This window comes from Homo sapiens, chromosome 12, assembly GCF_000001405.40.
Source record: "Homo sapiens chromosome 12, GRCh38.p14 Primary Assembly".
In the NCBI taxonomy this organism is placed as follows: Eukaryota; Metazoa; Chordata; class Mammalia; order Primates; family Hominidae; genus Homo; species Homo sapiens.
Window position 1 is genome coordinate 4638485 of NC_000012.12, and position 21886 is coordinate 4660370.

Consider the following 21886-nt stretch of genomic DNA (forward strand, 5'->3'; position numbering starts at 1 on the left):
CATGTCCCGCCCCTTTATGTCCTTGCTTGACGACCCTCCCCCTGCACTCACAGGATTTTCAGTAGACACTCAAAACTCAAGGTGACCAAAATAGAATTAATTTACTGCTCCTTTGTCTGTTCTTGCCCCACCAACTTAGCTTTTAAGTAATTGTTTCATTTTTAATTAATTTCTAAAGCTGTTACTTACTCATACCAGCAGTAAGTCTGGTAGCTCTTTCTTAAGACCAATCCCTCCTCATTAGCCAAGGATCCTGGGGGAATTCTCAGCCTCTATGGTTCAGCTAAATTTCTGAGTATCAGTCAGGACAAAAGAGATGTCATGTGCGCCATTCAAAAGGCCTTTGTCTATGGACGCAGTGATTTCCTTGTTGATGTGAATTCGTTCACAACCTTCCCAATACTTTGCTCTATTCCCTAATCTCAGTAATGGCACCACCATTTACCTGGTCTTCTAAGCCAGAAAACTGAGATTCATTTTAATTGTCTTCTTCCACCCCAAGCTTCCCTCTAGCTACTATTTCTCTCTTTTTCCATTTGCAGTCATTTTTCTTAAACATATTGCTTATACCTGCTGCTTTCATTGATTCTCCTTGCAAATGAGTATTATATGTACATACCTATTATATGTACTCCTTTGGGCTTTGGCCTTAGTCTCACACACTTTCCACAACACCGAATCTTACTTGCTAGTCTTTGAAAACATGGCCAACTCTCATGATGACTGAGAGTTATCCACTGATCATCTAAAAGTATGAGAACCTTCTCTTTGCCCTCTTTTTCTATGCCAGACTTCCATTCCCAGGCTTTCACACTGAAGTTTCCCTTCTTATATTCTTTGCTCAGCTCACCCCTCCTTCCCTCTTCATCCCTTAGGCTCGGTTGGCGTTAAAAAATTTTTTTCTTTTGGGGGGTGCAGTAATATTTAATTTAATTTAATTTTTTCTTTTTTAAAATTATACTTTTAAGTTCTAGGGCACATGTGCACAACGTGCAGGTTTGTTACATATGTATACGTGTGCTGTCTTGGTTTGCTGCCCCCATTAGCTCATCATTTACATTAGGTATTTCTCCTAATGCTGTCCCTCCCCCATCCCCCCACCCCACAACAGGCCCCGGTGTGTGATGTTCCCCGCCCTGTGTCTAAGTGTTCTCATTGTTCAATTCCCACCTATGAGTGAGAACATGCAGTGTTTGGTTTTCTGTCCTTGCGATAGTTTGCTCAGAATGATGGTTTCCAGCTTCATCCCTGTCACTACAAAGGACATGAACTCATCTTTTTTTATGGCTGCATAGTATTCCATGATGGATATGTGCCACATTTTCTTGTCTTTTTTTTTTTTTTTTTTTTGAGACAGAGTCTCGCTCTTTCGCCCAGGCCGAACTGCAGTGGCACCATCTCGGCTCACTGCAAGCTCCGCCTCCTGGGTTCACGCCATTCTCCTGCCTCAGCCTCCCAAGTAGCTGGGACTACAGGCACCTGCCACAACGCCCAGCTAATTTTTTGTATTTTTAGTAGAGACGGGGTTTCACCGTGTTAGCCAGGATGGTCTTGATCTCCTGACCTCGTGATCCACCCGCCTCGGCCTCCCAAAGTGCTGGGATTACAGGCATGAGCCACCGTGCCCAGCCTATGTGCCACATTTTCTTAATCCAGTCTATCATTGATGGACATTTGGGTTGGTGGCGTTAAAAAATTTAAAAACAAACAAAAAAAACTCTGCTCAGATCTATACTTCTCAATTATCAAGGTGGAATAAGATAGCCCATTTCTCCTCCCCAATGCCTCAGACATCTTTATGAAATAGAATATCTCTGTGCTTTGATTCCAACAAAATACTTGTTTAAAATACTGTTATAATCAAGCTCAACAGCTTATCCTAATTTTTTATAGTGAAATTGTGTTTTATGAAGAATTGCTTGAAATAAGTGAAGCAGTATTAAGGCATGAACATCTGGTTAACTGGAAATATTTGTTTTAAAGGACTTTGGACTGTGGTGAGGGTAGACGTCCTTCCTCAAAATAAAACCAACACAGATTAAAGAAAGATTAAATACATCATTGAAACTTATATAAGTGGATATGTCATTTTTGTTATACAGGGTGTTTTAGATAATCATTACAAAGAAAATACAAGATCTTTTAAGAGCTACTTATTCTTTGCTCCTACAAGGATTTGTACTCATTTTCACACAGGAATCACTAACTCAGATTACTGAGCTAAGGAAGCAGTTTATTTTAATCTTCCAGGCACTCAAATACAATGGATTCCTTAGGTAAACAATGAGTTCTCCATCCTAATTAGACATGAGCATCACCAAGAGAACTGTGTAAAGATACTGAATCCAAGTTACTACCCCCCGAAAATCTTATTTCAATGGTTTTGGGTTGGGGAAACTTAGGCATTCTTAACATTCTTAAATGCTCCCTGAGTGATTCTAAAACACATCAAGAATTGAGAATTCCTAGACCAGGGCTTATCTGGACAGACTCTGTGAAAAAGACTGGGTAGGTCCAGAAAGATAATTATTTACCCATTTCTTTAAAAATTTTCTCTGAGACAGATTTTCTAACTTCCTTTTTTTTTTTTTTTTTTTTTTTTTTTGGTGACAAAGTCTCACTCTGTTGGCCAGGTTGGAGTGTACAGGCGCGATCTCGGCTCACTGCAACATCTGCCTCCCAGGATGCTCACCGCAACCTCCGCCTTCCCAGGGAGTATCTAATTCCTTTAGATATTCCAGCCCTGCTAACATCCTGGAAGCTGTGAAGTTTTCCCATGGCCAATGGCCAATAGAAGGATTGGATTAAAATGTTCCTCAAAAATGTTCATGTGATGATTACCTGCCTCAGCCTCCCAAGTAGTTGGGACTACACCAGGCGCTCCACATCTGGCTAATTTTTGTATTTTTAGTAGGGACAGGGTTTCACCATGTTGGCCAGGCTGGTCTCGAACTCCTGACCTCAAGTGATCCGCCAGCCTTGGCCTGCAGGTGTGGGCCACTGCACCCGGCCAGATTTCCTAATTTTCTTTGGTATCTTATGTTAATGTTTTGTTATCTTAACAAGGAAGTTGTTAATGCCTTGAAGTTAAACTCTATAATGTCCTCTGCATAAACATACACACATAGAAATGTTCTTATGCTTGCATCGTTACTATAAAGAAAACAATGAATGCTACTATTATTTGGCCAAAGAATTGGAAGACTTGGAAGCAGTTTGTCCTAGATTATTGATAGTACAAGTGAGAGCCAGAAACACAATCTCTTAATCTTCTGTGTATATTTCATCCAAATGAGTTACTCCTAGTAGAAAATTGTGACAAAATCAATAGGATCTATTGCTTTATTCAAGCTATATAAAATTAAAATGCTGACAATTATGTACAAAAAGTACAGAAATTATGTGATCACTTACTCTTACAGAGGATAGGTTCTGAGATATGAGGAAAGCTCTTGATTAATTTATTGTTGTCTTCACTATCCCTCAGTTTACCCCCCTCCTGCCATGTAATATAAGGAATCTGCAATGGAAAGACACAGATAAAAATGACTAATTTTACAGATGGAACGTATTGCTCTTATTACCCAATAATGTTTTTGACTTATTATTTTTCACATGTGCATTTAAGTAATGAGCTCAAAATGACATTCAAATTTCATGAGCACACATCTTATTCTTGATGCAGTCTAGCAGTTCCAAGATGACAAAAAGGTTGCACTTTTGGGCCAATGATTTCTTAAATGACTATTGTTATTCCTCACTTTCAAATCATTGCTATACAGTCTTTTTAAACAACGAAGACCCTAAAAATTTTTAGCTTAATTTTAAATTTGCTTGAATAGGAAGTTGGAAGAAAAATAGCTGGAATGAAGAATAAGCACCCTGAATTTATGGAACTCAAAACACTTTGCAAGCATCTTTGAGGACTTGAGAGAAATACACACCCTCAAGTTATAAAGGGAGTTCATAGATATCTTCCAGATTAATTAACTTCCTTGTTTTAGTTCTACTAAGACATTTCAGTGGAAGACATTAGGGCACTGTACTCTCTTCTTGAATATCCACCCAGCCCCCCAGTAATGGCTCTCTAAATTCTACCCTTACTTTTTAGCCCAGGTCAAGGGCTACCCCATCCATGAAATATTTTCTAGATACCTAATGAATGTGATTGCTCCCTCATTGAAGTTTCCATCATATTTTGTTTCAATGTGTACATTCTATCTAGTAGTTTAATTGCTCCCATGTATTTCATTTTCTTTACTGGATGACTTCATAAGGGGAGAGGCATTTTCCTATTCATCTTGGTATGCCTTATAGTAGCTAGTATCTTAAAATTGGAGCTCAATAATTATCTGCTGGAAGAATGAATATGCACCACCTGCCCATTTTCAGATAGTTCATTTTTCCTTTTGGATTGGAGAATCCAAGGACAAAAAAACAGACGGCTTGCTCAAATTTACTATGGCGGTTACTATGGCGGTAATCCATATATTCAAGACGCCTTGAAGCTTGACTCCTTTGGGAGATACGTTCACCGCACAGACTTACTCAGTGATTTACTAACAGACCTTCCTATTCCACTAGTACAAATAAATCAACATCTTAAAAGTGCTTTTGTATTTTTTTCATGAAAGCATAACTACTAGTCAAATATATTCAGCAAACACTTCACTTAAATATATTCTAATGTTTTAATTCTATTTTCTAGGTCCTATGAGTGGGTTTAGCTGCATCATGAAGCTTGTTTTGGACTTTTAAAACTTCCTGTCTGTCCTAGATGACAGCATCTATAAAGAGGTACTTTAAAACTTATTAATGATAATGACATTCAGATTTCTAAATCAATGTTTCTCATAATAAAAGTGGAAAAGAAGGAAGATCTAAAGAGTTTAATGAAGTCAGTGAATGGATTCATAAATTGCTATAAGTTTAAAAGCTGGTAAATAATATCCTGGAGTTAGGGTAGAAAAAAAAAAGAGAAAATGATACTTTGTGTTATCTATTAAAGATAAATGGACCTCAGAAACCATGTTTTCTAATACTCTCAGCTTATAGATTAGGATATTGAGGCTCAGAAAGGAAATACTAGAATCAGCAGATATATTCCTTTAGATATTCCAGCCCTGATAACATTCTGGCAGCTGTGAAATTTTCCCATGGCAAGTAGAAGGATTGGACTAAAATGTTTCTCAAAAATGTCAATGTGATGATTACTTCAAGTTGAGGAGGAGTGCAAACCTGAATGCCAGTCATGAAAGGCATAAGCAACATAGGGGCTTGGTTATGGTCGTTATATCCTAGACCATAGCTCTATCTCAAGGCAGTTTTCTCCTGTATCCATTTTAAGTGAGAGGCTCCTGTTTACCCAAGGTTCCTAAACTCATGTAAAAACTCAGATTGCAGAAGCGAAAGCATAAGCAAAGTTCTTGCAGGGTTGCTAAGTACTTGATCGAGTTTTGAGGTTCATTCAACCAGGTTTTATTACTAGTTTTGAGAGGGAACAGTATGTTTCTCATATCCGTTTTCTTTTACTGCCTTCCTTTCTGTAAGTGCCTGCTACATCGTAGAAGCTCAATAAACTTGGTTGCTGATTAAATAAGAATTTCAATCGATTTTCTTTAAATAAAGATTTGTGTGTGTGTGTGTCTCAATGGCACCATTCATTGTTAAGCTTTCCGGTGGAAAGTCTTTATTTTTACCTTCCCTAAGTAAGAGCTTCTTCTTCTAGTCCCTGTTAGTATAGATACTTTCACCACATAGCTATAGATATCCTGCCCTTTCCCAGTTCTGTTGTCTAACCAAGACTTCAGAAATAACAGTGAGAAGATAAAAGTGTATGAGAATTGGACTCGGGGTTATACCAGTTCTATTTTGCTCTTGGGGCACTGGAAAGAAAATAAATTTAGGAATGGCCACACAATGACTAGGAAAAGTCAGTAGGTAGTCAAGCTTCTACTCTATCAAATGGGGAAGCAGGAAGTAAGGCCCCTCATGTCTCCAAAAGGATAGCTGAGGAGATCTTGTCAAATCTGTAACCAAATCACAATGTCAGCAGCAAAGATGGTAGGTTTGACTTTAAAGCTGCTGAAGGAGAGGTTCACTTATTTCCAGAGGACTCACAGGTAAAATTAAAATTGGCTGAGCAGGCCAGGCATGGCGACTCACACCTGTAATCCCATTACTTTGGGAGGCCGAAGTGGAGGGGATCACTTGAGGTCAGGAGTTTGAGACCAGCCTGGCCAACATGGCGAAAACCTGTCTCTACTAGAAATACAAAAAATTAGCCAGGTGAGATGGTGGATGCCTGTAATCTCAGCTACTCGGGAGTCTGAGGCAGAGGAATCACTTGAATCCAGGAGGTGGAGGTTGCAGTGAGCCGAGATTGCAGCACTGCACTCCAGTTGGGCAACAGAGTGAGACTCCATCTCAAACAAAAAAAAAATCAGCTGGACAGAAGAACAACGCTAGGTTGAACATAACAATTTTCCTATCACTTGTCATTGAATTCTCCCTTCCAACCACAGAGGATCAGAAAATGGGCTGTTTTATCAGTCCAGTAAGATTACCTACCTCTGTAGTACTGGAATAGTGAACCACGGAAGACTCCAGAATATACTTTTAAAGTCAATGAAGATGCTGGGATGTTCTTGCTCAGCTCAAGATCTTGTTTCTTCCTGTGGCCTTCCATGTACCTCCCCCTTGCTGGGACTGGAGAGTGACATCAGAATCACAATTGGTGATATCACTGTCTCTATAGCAACAGTAGTGAGGCTACCAGAAAATGAATGGTCAACAGGACAAAGAGGAGGGGTGAAGATATACTCCAAGGGGCTGATGTTTAGTTTAGAAGGACTGGGCTTTATTCTGATTAATTCTCTCTTTAGAGCAGTGGTCCCCAAACTTTTTCACACCAGGGACCAGTTTTGTGAAAGACAATTTTTCCACGGATGGGAGTGGGGTGGGAGTATGGTTTCTGGATGATTCAAGCACATTACATTTGTTGTGCACTCTATTTCTACTATTATGCCATAATATAGAATCAGTGGGAGTCCTGTCTTCCTGCAACTAGATGGTCTCATCTGGGGATGGTGGGAGACAGCGACAGATCATCAGGCACTAGATTCTCATAAGGAGTGCACAACGTACACTTTCCACAATAGGGTTCAAGCTCCTATGAGAATCTAATGCCACCACTGATCTGACAGGAGGTGGAGCTCAGCTTTGCTCACTTGCTCACCATTTACCTGCTGTGTGGCCAGGTTCTAAAAGACCATGGACTGGTACCGGTCCATGGCCTGAGGGTTGGGGACCTCTGCTTTAGAGTGTTTAATATAGGTGGGGGAATACGGGAAGGGGACATTTTGCCAATGGATTCCACTTAAAGCAGCAGAGTAAGTATTATGTATTAACAAATCTAGAGGACGGCAGAGGAGAATGAGAAATAAAAGAATTGAGGGTCTAAATTTTATGCATATCCCATGGAATCACTTCATTTTGTCAGATCCAGCCAGGACTCTTTTTATTTATAAGCATCTTGCCTTCTGTAAAAAAATTATTTTTAGGATATTTTGCCTAAACTGACCATCTCTGGGTTATAATTTGTCTTAGATCTTCAGAGATACAATAACCCTATTTTATCATTTGCAATGCCTGACCTGAGAAACTGTAGTGGGAAAAATCACACCAAGAGGCATTTGGTTAGCTACTCTTTCTATGCTTTATTACTACATTCTCTGAAAATGTTACCTCAGCTACTCTGTAATTAATGATTAAATATAGGACTAGTATATAGTTTCCATGGAGCAAAAAGAAATTCCAAGCATGGCCACGAGATAATGATGAAAATTGCAACAGATTCAAAAGCGGCTGGTTTATCACAGGGTTCCTTCAAAAAAGTTATTTATCGCTGGGCACAGTGGCTCACGTCTGTAATGCCAGCACTTTGGGAGGCTGAGGCAGGCGGATCACTAGAGGTCAGGAGTTCAGGACCAGCCTGGCCAACATGGCAGAACCCTGTCTCTACTAAAAATACAAAAAATTAGCCAGGCATGGTGGTACACGCTTGTAATGCCAGCTACTCGGGAGACTGAGGCAGGAGAATTGCTTGAACCTGGGAGGCGGAAGTTGCAGTGAGCAGAGATAGCACCATTGCACTCCAGCCTGGGTGACAGAGTGAGACTTGAAAAAAAAAAAAGTTATTTATCCATTGATGATCTTTTATATTGTCTCAAGAGCTTTTGTATTCTTTTCACAGAAAGTGCACCTACTAGTCAAATTATATTTGTCAAAATATCTCAGTTTCTTTTTTCTTTTTTTTGAGACAGAGTCTCAACTCTCGCCCAGGCTGGAGTACAGTGGCACGATCTCGGCTCACTGCAACCTCCGCTTCCCAGGTTCAAGTGATTCTTGTGCCTCAGTCTCCCGAGTAACTGGGATTACAGGTGCACACCACCACACACGGCTAATTTTTGTATTTTTAGTAGAGGCTGGGTTTCACTATGTTGGCCAAGCTGGTCTCGAACTCCTGACCTCAAGTGATCCGCCTGCCTCGACCTCCCAAAGTGCTGGGATTACAGGCATGAGCCACCGCACCTGGCCTCTTCGTCTTTGAAATAATGGGGCTTGCTGAGCTCCTAAAATCTCTTCCAGCTCTAACATTCTATGATTTTGATACTTCAGTGGTATTTGAATAGTACTGCATGGACCTACATATAGCACTTTACGGGTGACAAAGCATCTTTGCATCCATTACGCCACCCGATTCTCATAATAACCTTTTGAGGTACCAGGGTAGGTTTTATTTACCCTGTTAGACAAGTGTAGAAACTTGTCCAGGTCACAGCTAACGAATGACAAAACTGGGGATGGGATCTAGTATTCTAGGTGTTAAAAATCGGTGTTCTTTCAGTTGGGCACAGTGACTCATGCCTGTAATCCCAGCACTTTTGGAGGCCAAGGTGAGAGGAGGTCTTGAGCCCAGGAATTTGAGACAAGCCTGGGCAATACAGTAAGACCCCATCTCTGAAAAAAAAAAAAGTCAGTGTTCTTTTAATTACACCATGCAACCTTGAAACTAGAACTGAGAACATGAGGCAGTGTTTAACTTAGAGATTTTAAATTATATAATTGGCAGTGTTATACAGGAGTAAGCAGGTTGCTGATGACAGTCAGGATCTGTTGATCCGAACAAGGAAAGTATGTTAGTATCCATATTGGTCCCAAAATCAAGTATTAGCAAATTGTGTTAAGTGAACATAGGATAAGGCCAAGAAATATGACAGTGTAGCGTTACTACTAAGCTTCTCCGATGAAATTCAAGGTTTTTTTCTCTCTTCCAATTCAATTTGTTAGGCGACACTTCAGTAAACAGTAGGGGCAAGATAGAGTGGAAACAGCCAAGATTTCAAGCCTAGTAATAAGCAACTTCTACATCCCTACTCATCACAGGCCTTTTTGTCTATCCCAGAAACACATACTTTTCCTGAAAAAACAAAGCACTGGAAGGATTACCAAGTCTAGAAAGAACCCGCCCTCCCCAAACTAGGTGGTTTTCTGATAAGCCTAAGGTATGTTTCACAGGATCACTGGTTGCCATCTCCTACCCAGCAATCTGGAGAGGTTGACCAGAATAAAGTATTTTAAAATCCAAGCGCTTAGTCTAACCTGGAATTTCCTCAGTTTCTAGATGGCTCTTTGTAGAACAATGCAGATTCTCAAAGGTGACCACAGTTAAAGAAAAAATTACAAGCCATTGCGCTAGAGAGAGCCATCTGCAGTTTCTCCTTAGACAGATGTTCAGATGGCACACATGGCCACTAAATTTGCATAATATTTCAGGAAGTTCACAGATTTCCCGAAGCCCACTCATGAATCACACTTCTGGTTAAGAACTCCTAGATTCATATGCTAGTTGGTGATAAGTGCTTTGGTATATAAACTTAAACCAAAAATTGGTGGAATAATTACCACCTTGGATAGGATGGTCAGAGAAGTTTTATCCGAAGAGGTCACTTTTGAGCAGAGACTTGAGCTGGTGCAGACACCTGAGTGTGCATTCCAGGAAACGCGAACAGCAGGCGCAAGGGTCCCTATGAGAGAATGTGCTTGGCGGGCTCGACGCACATTTATTTACTTGGGACACACCCTATTTTGGTTTCTCTTCTCCACTTTTCCCCTCGTTCTTGTCCCCCCTTTTCTCTCTCCTGGGCCCTGGATCTCCTGAGCGCGGAGGGCTACGCCTCCTTCTTCCTCCGGACTCACCAGGGCTGCCAGCTTAGCTTACATTTTCAGGGAACAGGAAACTGAGAGTCAGGAAAGGTGAGCTCTTCTACCTCGGGTCTTGCCATTTTGCATGTCCTGAGTCAGTCACTGGTTAACTCTGAACTTCAGGTTCCTCGGCAATTAGAGATTATAAATAGCCTATACAGCCTATTCCAGATCTGAGATTCCAACAGCCAAAGTCTTTTCACTTCCTTTCTTCCCCCTCTCCTTCACTTTCCCAGCTTTCTTCTTAACCAACAATCTACCCGAAACCGTCGTTTCTTGGTTAGCGCTTGCGCAGACAGGCGAGAAAGGTAAGTTTTGACCCAGCTTAGCAGCCGTAGTCAGCCGGGAGTGCTGTCGTGGGGGATTGTGGGAAAAGATGGCGGCTGCCGCACAATCCCGGGTTGTCCGGGTCCTGTCAATGTCACGTAAGTGTTACCGGGAACGGCGGCCCCTGGTCGGGATTCCGAGACGGGGATTTAAGGTTTTGGAAGTGGCACCGTGCTGCAGCGGTCACGCCAACTTCCTAGGCACACTCTGGTTTCTCTAGGTTTGGAGCTGCCTCAGTCTGGTTTCTCCTTTCGCTTTCCGCTTCCCCGGCTCACATATTCAATTGTGCACCACCTTGGGAGGGGACAAAAGATCTTAAGCAGCTGTAAGCGAAGAGGAGAATGCGGGGGACACGTTAGGGATCGAGAGAATCAGAATTCTGATATGGTTGTAAGGGTTTAGGGTTATGAGAAATATTTGTATGGGGCGGGGGGAGAAATGTGTAAGGGAGGGAAAAAAGGCTAGTGGCGAGAGGTTTTCTTAGATTGATTTTATGACCTTGTGCAAACCCTTAATGGGTCTCAATTCATATGAGCACAATGGAAATGATAATATTACAATACCAGGGAGTCTCTGATAAGATTAAATGAGCTAATATTTGTAAAAGCATCCTTTTACCCAAAAGCGTCTCTACGGATGTAGAATGTGTTCGGCAAAGTGCGTTGGGGTCTGGGGGAGAGAGTGATGTTTGAGGAGAGAAGAATCAGGAGCTTGGTGGAAAGGAAAGTGAAGAATGAAGGCTATGTTAGAATTTGTTAGCATTATTTAGTTTCTCTTCTGTTCTGATTGGATCTGCTCCCACTCCTCAAACTGAAAACATACATTTGTCCTTCCACTCACTAAAAAGCAAGGAAATTAGAAATACGGTTACACTTCATCATTGTCCTTTCACCCTCTACTCTTCCACAAACATATTCCAATCAAACCCCCAAAGTTGTATTTTTCTTAGTGTATTTTAGTCGTTACAGAATATCATTTGCTTTCAAAATTGGCTCATGTCAGAATCACTCGTAAAGCTTTATAAAAATTAGAAATGAGGACTGAGTGTAGAGCTATTGAGTCAGAATTTGTGAGATTAGCTCCTTGCACCTTAAATTTTTAAAAGCACCACAGATAGGCTTGATGTTCAGCCTGAGGCAAGAATTAGGAGTGTTTAGAGGATCCTTTTTTTTTTGTTTTCCATCTTGGGTAGAACTCCTGCATACCACTGGGAAGGTGGTGGTGCACATCACTTATAGTGGATGGTTTTGTAGTCACAATGTCTTTGCAAAGACATTTGCTGGTTCTTGTTAAACTATTACAATTGTATGACGTAATGTAGATTGTGAATGGTAATCACTATTTATTGAGTACCTGCTATCTGCAATCTCCAGTTCTAGGTATTTTTATTAATTTTCCTCTTTTAACTTACTTTCCTCTGACTGACACCATAGCTTGTGTTCTTAACCACTCTGCGTTATTGTCTGGTAAAGTAAGTTTTTGAGTAAATTCTGTAGAGGCAAGTCTAGTATGTAACATAATCCACACACTATAGGACAGAACTGTGTAAGACAACTATATATAGTTAAGTGTGGCAAGACTATTAAGTATCACAGGAAATCATAAAAGGGAAAGATTAGTATCATTTGAGGTACTGAGGGATGATTGGAAGACCAGTGGAGAATTGTAGTGCTCCCACTGGTCTCTTTAGGGCTGTTATGATCTGGAAAGTCCTCTGGCAAAGACAAGTGGGTGAGAATGGAGTCATGAGGTATTCAAGAGGCAGTGAAATGACTACCTGAATATCTGGGATAGTGGAAAAGGAGGTTGAATGTGTTAGATGGGATCAGACAATGGAGACCTTTGAAAGCCAAGCAGAGTTTAGATCGGTAGTCTCCAAAGGGAGTTGTGCAAGAGGACCTAATAAGTTGTGGAAATATAAATTAGAACTCCTAAAAATTGCTTTCTATAGTAATAATAGCTAACACTTATGTAGTTTAAACTGTATGCCACACACTATTCTAAGTAATGTATGATTTATAATGTGTATATCATATTGGTACTACATAGAACGTGCATATAATTTTTTAAATAAATACTTAAAAAAATTAATGCAGTGTGCAAGCAAATATGTCTGGACTATTGGTTTGGGTATTGCAGTAGGAAACTAATGTAGGTTTTTAAGCAGAGAAATATAATGAATATATAATTAATAAAGAATATCATTCTTCTAATAGTACTCATAATAAATGGAAGAAAGTGGAGAGGCTGGAACCAAAGAGAGTAATAATTTATATTTATTGAGCACCTAGTATTTGCAAGGCACTGTGACAGATGCTTGCCCATATGTTATTCTCATTAACCCTTTAAACTGTGAGCTTCATGAAGCCAGGGTTTTGTATTTTACTGTGATAGTCACAGTTTCTAGAATAATTCTTGGCCCATAATTATTAAAAAAAAACAATAGCCATGTGAGGTTAGTGTGACATTACCTTCTGAGAAATTTCAAAGTAATAAAAGCAACTATTATTCATAGAATGCTTAATGTGCTCTAGGTAATGTGCTACGTGGTTTATGTATGTTTAATCCTCTTAACAGTCCTTTGAGGTATTAATTCCTCAACTCAAGTAATTCTTCCCAGTTCATTGACTCTGCCATCTTTTGCCTGTCTTATCCTATGTCCTCATTTCCTTACTCTTCACTCTTATCATTCCCTTTTATGCATCCTCAACTCCCCAGCCCAACTCCCATTGTCGTAAAAAACATTGACCCTGATTAAACAAAACTTTCCACGTAATTTGCTGCCTGCCACTGAGCAATGGAGAACGGGGCTAGGGAAAACTTCAGACTAACTGGCCTTATTTTAAATTCATGAATACAAATCTCAAGTAGATTTTCAGTGCTACATTTTTCTAGGAAATTTGGTTTCCTTGTCTCCATAATCATTACTTAACATAGCGAGTTTCCTAAAACCTCTAACATGTGCTTTTGTCTCATTCTCAGCTTTACAGAGAAATCAAAGGAATCAGATGAGAACAGTCATTTTCCCACCATAAACTCTAATAGTTGATATGTGATAATTCTTTGCCTTTTCTCTTGTTACAGTGGGTGAGCTCCTTCTGTTCCAATCTGTGGCCAGTTCCTTCACTTTGCATTCAATCTTATCCTCTCTCAACTATTCATTCCCTTTCCTGAATCAGTAATTTTCTACCTCTACCATGGAAATCATGTCATTTCCATCAGCACATAAATGTTAACTCATATTTAAAACAAACAAACAAACCTATTCCTGTCCTTGTTTTCTCTAGTTCCATTTCTCCTTTTTCAGAAGGATTGTGTATACTCCTCATCTACTTCCTTGCCTCACAGCCTCTCTTGTTTGCTCCAGTCTGGCTTTCAGTCCCACTAATCCAATAAAATTGCTCTTATTTATGCCACCTACAGCCACATCCTCCAGCTTCTGTGGTCCTCTGTCCTCTTCCTACTTCACTTTCAGCATTTGGTAAAGTTAACCATTCTCTCCTTGAAACAGTTTCTTATTTTGGGTTTTTAGATTCTGTTTCCTTCTGAGTTTTTCTCCTACCTCATGGGACTGCTTTTTAATCTCCTTTACTAGTGCTTTGGGCTAGTCACTAACCTTATCCATAAAGTGGTGATAAAGATAGCATTAAAAAAGATAATACCTATGCAGCACTTAGAATAATGCTGGACACCTGCCAAGAGCTCTGTAAAGGTAGCTGTTAATATGATGTTATTATTTTGTTATTATGATGTGTGGTCCATGATGTTTACTTTTAATTTCTGTCACTATCAGTGAGCTAGGCTATTTCTCCAATTCAATACTTTTGGATAGGGAAGAACAATGACCTTTGGGCAGAATGCCACCTGAAAGTCATCCCTAGAAACAAACACAGATTTTCTAAAGAAAGTCCTGTTTGTGTCTTTCACCTCTCCCAAGTGTACAAAGCACGAATGCTAAGCTCCGAAGTTTGTTGATTGGAGCAGAAGTGCGTTAGCACTTTAAACCTTTTTGTTTCTACTTACATGAAAGTTGAGCAGCTAACTCTAAAATTCTATTCTAAGGAGTTAGCAATAACTTGAAAACTGGAATGTATCCAAAAGAGATTCTCATTCCTGCCATATGAAGAATATTTGACAGGACAGGGAATGTTTAACCTGGAGAAGAAAATATTTAGTGGGGCTATAATTGCTACACTTAATTGTAGAAGAGGGATTAGACTTGTTCTTTGTCATTCTGGAGGAACACAGGGATAAAAACTTCTGGGAAGCAGTCACTGATTCCCCTTGTGGTAGAACTTTCTTTCTGTTAGAATGGCTCAAAGCAGAATGGGCAGCTACAGGAAGTAGTGAGTTTCCCAACTCCACAGGTGTTCAGGCAAAAGCCAGATGATTTCTTTGCACACATGCTGTAGAGAAGATGTAAGCATTGGTACATGAACTTTGAGGGTTCATTCTAGTACCAAGAACCTCAGTCAATGAAAAAGAAATGGTGGAATGTTTGACAAGTCTCTTGCTGTTAAACTTTCTAAAAGTCAGAATATCTTTTCTCAAGCACTTCACTCCTTTTATCATTATTTGTGATGTTCTTCAGTGGTTTTATAGTAAGTCTGAACTATTGAACTGCATTCTTTTTTTTTTTTTTTAATGTTCTGTACTAATAATCATCTGCTTCCGACCAGTATCATCAACCTTATTTTTCATTAGTCACCAGTTTCAGATTCTGTTCCAGGAGAGTCTTTTGCTGTTGCCCTGTGCTGTAGGCTTATTCATTCTACCTCTGCATTGTGATGTGTTCCTCATGGGATTCTGTCCTTTCTTTTTTTTTTCCTCTTTTAAGACCTTTCTCAAAACATTTTATCCAGGAATACTTCCTCATGGTAATGTGATTTATTGCTCATTTATTACATATTCTCAGTTCCTTTTACCGTATAGGCTTATGCTTTCCTACTTTGTGACTGTTTAATATGTTTTTTAAAAAATGTGACTTATCTTCTTAGGTAAGTTACATTGTATAGGGTAGGGAGTATATTTCCTCATGTCCTCTGGATTCTGTGTCGTAGTAGTTTGTGTTTATTATTGCCCTTGATACTTAAATTGCTAAAGTACTGATTGCAAAATAATGTTACAAGTTTTTAGAGAAAGGAGCTATTTGTGTTGACAGTTTTAAAAATATTAATATTTGCCATGCTTGTATACTTTGGGGTTTTGTTTAAGGTTCTGCCATTACTGCAATAGCCACATCTGTGTGTCACGGCCCACCCTGTCGCCAGCTTCATCATGCCCTCATGCCTCATGGGAAAGGTGGACGTTCCTCAGTCAGTGGGATTGTGGCCACTGTGTTTGGAGCAACAGGATTCCTGGGGCGATATGTTGTCAACCACCTTGGTAAGTAAAGTTCCTTAAGTTCATATGCTCCATTGCCATTGATCAGGATTGCCTGATGAGAAGCATGAGCTATGTTTCTCTTCATTTTAACAGTATTATGAATTACTCCTGTCTTGGATGTATGTAATTTTTATTTGTTGTGACATGAAGAGCACACTCATGCTCCTATATAGGAATTATTAGGATAGGAATAAGGGACTCTGAAAAGCTATGGCATCTTTAGCATGGCAAAATATTCTTTTTGTCAAATATAATATCAATTCACATACCATACTAGAATTTAAATATTTACCAAGTCACAATTGTATAATATATCCACATTATGTTAATGTTGATCCTTTTTTCAATCCATTCTCTTTTAGGACGCATGGGGTCACAGGTAATCATACCCTATCGGTGTGATAAATATGACATCATGCACCTTCGTCCCATGGGTGACCTGGGCCAGCTTCTGTTTCTGGTAAGGGCCTTTATGACTGAATGAAGTTGACAAATATAAATTACTAAGGTCATTTTTAGGAGTGATAGGCAGTATAATAAAGCAGTAATTTCTTCCCAGAATGGACCAAAGGCATCCTCTGTTCCCAGGTCATTCTTTCAGCTAGGTTCCGGCATCTCCTTTGTCATGCAAGCTCTAGATTGGCAGTTGGCAAACTTTTTCTTTGAAGGGACAGAGAGTAAATACTTCTGGCTTTGCAGGTCGTAGAGTCTTTGTCATAATTACTCAGCTCTGCCCTTGTAACTGGAAGTAGCCATAGACAATATGTACACAAATGGGCATGGCTGCATTTCAGTAAAATTTTATTTACAAAATGAGGCTGCAGGCTGAATTTGGCCTATGGACTATAGTTTATCAATCCCTGCTCTAGACCTGTGCTGTCCAGTGTGGTAGCCACTGGCCACATGTGGCTACTGAGCACATGAAATGTGGCTAGTCTGAATTGAGATATGCTGTACGTATAAAATATACACTAGATTTCAAAGACTCAGTATGAAGAAAACAATATACGATTCATCATTAACAATTTTTTATATTTGTTACATATTAAAATAATATTTTGGATATATTAGGTTAAATAAAATGTATTATTAAAATGAATTTTACTTGTTTCTTTTTTACCTATGTGCCTCATGTTATATTTCTATTGAATAGTGCTCTATAAACATAAAAAAATCACAAATAGGGTGTTTTATAACTTGGTTGTTTAGTATAGATTTAACTTAGAACAGTCCTTTCTGAGCATTCCCTTTGTCGTCCTTTAATCTACAGGTTCTTTAGGGCAGTAGTTGCCAATGCGGTGAGGCAGGGGAAAGAGGGTAGAGGAGGGCCATTAAGGGAGTGATTAATGGAACTCTTTGATTGTCACAGTGATTGGGGAGCTGTCCTGGTTATTAGGTACAGGCACAGGGATGCTAAATATCCTACGGAGCACAGGACAGTCTCTTTCCACAAAGAGTTGTGCTGCCCCAAATGCCTGCAGCCAAGCTATTGATTGCGATACTGTCTGGGCCTTGATGCTTAAATCTACTGATCTTATAGCTGACTTCCTACTTGTGTTGTCCTGTAAGGAATGGAGTTATACATTTTCCCTTTTAAAAAATACTTGCTAAACTTTCTTACTATCTCTGGTAATATTCATACAGATTATTTGTAATCCCTTTAAATTTTGATTTATTTTCATTTCATTTTCACATTTTCATTTATTCTTGACTCAGTGTTCACAAGCTAAGTATAATACTTGTATCAGAAATTTCTTATTTCCAAAATGTTTTTCTTCTCCAAAATCTTACTATTAAGTATATTCTTGGTATTAAAGTTACAGAATCTTAGCTTATTCCTAGTTCTTTGTCCCTCAAGTTTGTTGGTCACCTTGTCAGAGCCTCAAAATTGAAGTATTTAAAAAGTGATAGGTGAAAACTTTTGAACCATTGGAATTAAACCAAATGACATCTATTCCATTATTTCTGCAGAGATTTATTTCCTGAATGTCTAGCATTGACCTGTGCTCTGAGCACGTTTGGATGACCAAGACCACAGGGAACTCAGAGACTTGTATGTTTAGTGTTTGTTTATGTGTTTATTTTCGAGAAGGACTATTTGGGGTGTGAGGTGCTGATTTCCCCGCTTTAGTCTTTGTTTGCATCTGCTGTCTGAATGTCCACTTGGTTTGCCCACCTGACTGTGTGCCCTTGGGCCTTAGCCCTGAAAATTTGGTTTCCTTTTATTACATCACTCACTGCTGTAGATTTTATGTATATTTCACTTAATCGTCATAATAACCTCGTGAGGTAAGTTGTGTTTTCTAATTTTACATGGGGTTTGAAGAGATAATTTGTACAAAGTTAGTATATGGCAAACTGGGATTTGCATTCCTGTCTGTTTGACTCCAAAGCCACTGTTTAGACTGTGTCTTTTAACCCACTTTCTATCATCAGTCCTAACTGGTTCTTCCTGCTGGGGCTTCATCTTTTTGTTCTTGAATCTGATTTTATAGTTTGTTTTCTCTTTCCTAAATTAAACAGACATCCTAGTTCTCTCTCTTTCTCTTTCATCCCCACTTTCTTTCTCTTTTCCCTTCTTGCTCTGTCTCCTTCCTATTGCACTGACTCATGCATGTGCACTTATTATTTGGTGCTAAGAAATTCTTATTACTTGTTATCTTCCATTGAAATGCTTATAGAAACCTGCCCTTGGCTCACCCTGAAGTTTTAGGTAGTTCTCTTTGACTCTTGTTTTTATGTTGTTAATGGAGAAATTACTAGATCTGGGGTTATAAAAGAGGAAAGAATTAAAAAGAAATAAGAAAATAGTCATGAATGGCCCCAACTAACACTAGTCTTTAAAAGACACTCTTCCTATCTTCAGTCTGTAAGTGGTTGCTGTCAAGAAGGGAAAGTCTATCTCCCTAATGATCCTTGCTTCTTTGTCTGTATTTCAGGATTGGAGACTTGGTTTCCTGGGTTTCTTTTCAAACTTAGTAAGGAGTAGTTGGGTGGACAAAAACTAATATGCTCCATTAAAAATCAATAGCCTCCTTTTTAGCTCTGTCATTTGATTACCTGAGTAAAGTGTACTGTTACCTGTTTGTCTCGGAAAGAGTGAGGGAATCAGCAGGGAGTCTGAGATGTCATTTCTGTTGTAATAAATGGAGCTTGGATGAAATGGCACTATATTATGACTACAGCAGATGGCCCATTTTGAAACTTGCATTGAGGAGGCTGCAGAAGTGTTGAGTGCTGAGGTATACCCCTATGTTTTCATCCGATTGCTTTCTGCTATTATAGGAATGGGACGCGAGAGATAAAGATTCTATCCGACGAGTAGTACAACACAGCAATGTGGTCATCAATCTTATTGGACGAGACTGGGAAACCAAGTAAGTCTTTGACTCTTGTTTCTTCTTTGCTTAAGTCTTTCTTAGGGTTTAATGGACCTTCGCTGGGCACCTTTTATGTGCCAGCTATCACAGTGACATTTTCAATTAGTGAATAAGGGTTGGTTGAACAACCACTTGCATACCCAGTGACACCCCTGAGGAGATGTAGCTGACATTAAGTCTGGTATAAGTCAGCAGTGTGATATACTGCCCATAAAAAGCCAGTAGGTGGTATTGGTGTGGCTGCTGTTGGTCCTGTACTTGGATCAGTCCCTATGGGATGGGGTTAAGAAATAGGATTTTGCCTGTTCTGCTGTTTAGCAAGCTGAACTTTGGTTTTTCTTGTGTAGACAGTGTTCTAGATGTCTTTTCTGCATTGTTAATTGGAGGTGGCGTGAGGACTAATTTGAACAGTTCTTTGTATGGATTGTTTATTAACAAATAATGTTTCAATCCTATAGTCCACAACACTTTGTTTACACCTCTTTTTATAGTGTTAAAATTTGACTTAGTTTTTTAATATGTGTCTTCTCATCAAATATTTTATAAATTCTTTGATGACTTGGGGGTCTTATTCAACTTTTTATCCCCCCTAATGATTAACATAGTGTATTGTACAGAGTAAACATTTAGTTAACGTTACCGAATGAAATTGTTGACTGACTTGTTTTTAGTTTCTTTTTTTTCCCTTGCGGGAAACAAAGTCCCGGGGTAAGAAGTGATTCCTAACACTTCAGCAGCCAGTACGGCCAGGTTTCTTTAAAGGGCCTCAGCCTCAGGATTCCCTGATAATGCAGAACATGAAGTATACTGGATTTCTAACTTAAAGTAGTCCTTAAATTGTGTAGAGTAATGACAGCAGAGCTGTCAACTTTTTTAAAAAAATAATTTTAGCTTAAAAAAATTAAAAATTTTTTTTCTTTTTTTAGAAATAGAGACAGGGTTTTACTGTTTTGTGCAGGCTGGTCTTGAACTCCTGGGCTCAAATGATTCACCCGCCTTGGCCTCCCAAAGTGCTGGGATTACAGGCATGAGCCACCACACCTGGCCAAATTTAGCTTTAAGTTAAATCATTGCTGTTTAAAAGTTTAAGTAGTGTGAATTTCAGTACTGTTATGAAAACCATCTTATCACGTAAAGCTTTGAGATCCTGTGTGTGGAGTTCTTAACCAATCCTTTTATTTTTTATCTTCCAGAAACTTTGATTTTGAGGATGTTTTTGTGAAGATTCCCCAAGCAATTGCTCAACTGTCCAAGGAAGCTGGAGTTGAAAAATTCATTCATGTTTCACATCTGAATGCGAATATTAAAAGCTCTTCTAGATATTTGAGAAATAAGGTAAGTAACAAATTGATCTGGGAAGTGGTTCACAGAGCCAGAGTTTCTTGGGCCATTTGAAACATGATTTCAGTGAGAAGGGTTTATCACAGACATATGTAGAATTAAAAGGTTTTCTGATTCCCTGCATCCAGAACTAGGGGTGTGTGTGATGTTTTGACGTTTTGATTGATTGCCTTCTGTTTGCAGGGAACTGTGCTATGGGGCTTCGGAGTTGGCTAGACCATGTTACTGTTGGCATTCAGATACTTAAAGTTTCTTTGGGGCATCATTGAATTATACAGAAACCATCACAGATTTCTGCCAAAGGAATCATACCTGTGTCATCTACCATGGTTAAAGGACCATCTTTCTTTCTCACCCCTTGCACTGCAGTGGTTTTGTGCCACTCTTAAAGGGGCAATGTGAAGGCTCAGAATGACAGGGATTAATATTTGCCAGGGAAGATGCCTATTCACACAGTGCTTATGCTCCTTTTACTCCCAGAAATGCCATACCTAGAGACTGACCACTGTAGTTTGGAGTCAGTCTGTAGCCTAAGTGAAACGTGTTCATTATCAGGGACGCAGAAGGGATATCAGTGTCTGGCCGTGCGCTTAACATTTGGATTCTGCCATATGGAAGCCTGTTTGGAGTCATACTGATAAGGACAAGAGAGTTCCTTGATAATGGTTCCAAGTTTTTGACTCACCACATTAGTTTACTGGATAAACTATTCATTAAGCACCTACTGTGTGTCACATATTGTGTTAAGCACTGTGGCTACGGTAGTAAATAGAGAGAAAATAAGAGAGAGAATGCTTGTGCCTGCCTCTGCCCAAACATTCATAAAATCATCAGAATTTCATGACTGGAAGGGAATGGGAGGTGTCAATGGTGAGGAAGAGAGAAGAGTCAAAGATGTCCAGCCCTCTGGCTGAAGCCACTGGGTAGATGATAGTACTGTTGAATAAGATGGGAAATGCTTGGGAGGGACTAGGCTGTAGGGCAGTGAGTCTTAGCCTTAGTTGCACATTAAAACCACTGAGGGAGCTTTTAAAAATTCTGATGCCTAGGCTGCGCTCCAGACCAATTAAAACAATTTCTGGGGTTGCAACTTCAGCACCAGTATTTTTTAACTCTGTCTAGGTAATTCTGAGTGCAGCAAAGATTGAGGAGCACTATTTTACTTGAGAGAATGGAAGATGATTGAG

The 21886-nt window shown here is 39.5% G+C and overlaps 2 protein-coding genes across 3 annotated transcripts in view, besides 4 other annotated features; one reads left to right on the plus strand and one right to left on the minus strand.

Moving 5' to 3' along the window:
- The window catches only part of AKAP3 (A-kinase anchoring protein 3), a 33534-nt gene extending 22967 nt beyond the window's left edge, over positions 1-10567 (minus strand). The window contains exons 1-3 of one of the 2 annotated variants that reach the window (NM_006422.4): positions 10283-10567; positions 6571-6708; positions 3415-3520 (exon numbers count right to left, since the gene is read on the minus strand). The gene's annotated coding sequence lies outside the window, so the exon portion shown is untranslated. Of the gene's footprint in view, positions 1-3414; positions 3521-6570; positions 6709-10260 lie in introns of both variants that reach the window. The other variant, NM_001278309.2, reaches the window with a different exon arrangement.
- Positions 9992-10041: an enhancer, noted in NCBI's record as "active region_5828". NCBI's record gives its function as "activates an Ori minimal core promoter by ATAC-STARR-seq in GM12878 lymphoblastoid cells {active_cell/tissue: GM12878}" and the evidence as "EXISTENCE:reporter gene assay evidence [ECO:0000049][PMID:35858748]".
- Positions 10322-10531: an enhancer, noted in NCBI's record as "active region_5829". NCBI's record gives its function as "activates an Ori minimal core promoter by ATAC-STARR-seq in GM12878 lymphoblastoid cells {active_cell/tissue: GM12878}" and the evidence as "EXISTENCE:reporter gene assay evidence [ECO:0000049][PMID:35858748]".
- Positions 10322-11055: a biological region, named in NCBI's record as "H3K27ac hESC enhancer GRCh37_chr12:4758050-4758705".
- Positions 10400-11055: an enhancer, noted in NCBI's record as "H3K27ac hESC enhancer chr12:4758050-4758705 (GRCh37/hg19 assembly coordinates)". NCBI's record gives its function as "activates a minimal SCP1, AML or CMV promoter by ChIP-STARR-seq in naive H9 embryonic stem cells {active_cell/tissue: H9 hESC(naive)}" and the evidence as "EXISTENCE:reporter gene assay evidence [ECO:0000049][PMID:30033119]".
- Positions 10630-21886, plus strand: part of NDUFA9 (NADH:ubiquinone oxidoreductase subunit A9) — a 45204-nt gene continuing 33947 nt past the window's right edge. The window contains exons 1-5 of the mRNA NM_005002.5: positions 10630-10691; positions 15808-15978; positions 16341-16438; positions 19264-19355; positions 20552-20693. Coding sequence (NP_004993.1) covers positions 10643-10691; positions 15808-15978; positions 16341-16438; positions 19264-19355; positions 20552-20693 — 552 coding nt within the window. The 5' untranslated portion in view covers positions 10630-10642. The remainder of the gene's footprint in view (positions 10692-15807; positions 15979-16340; positions 16439-19263; positions 19356-20551; positions 20694-21886) is intronic.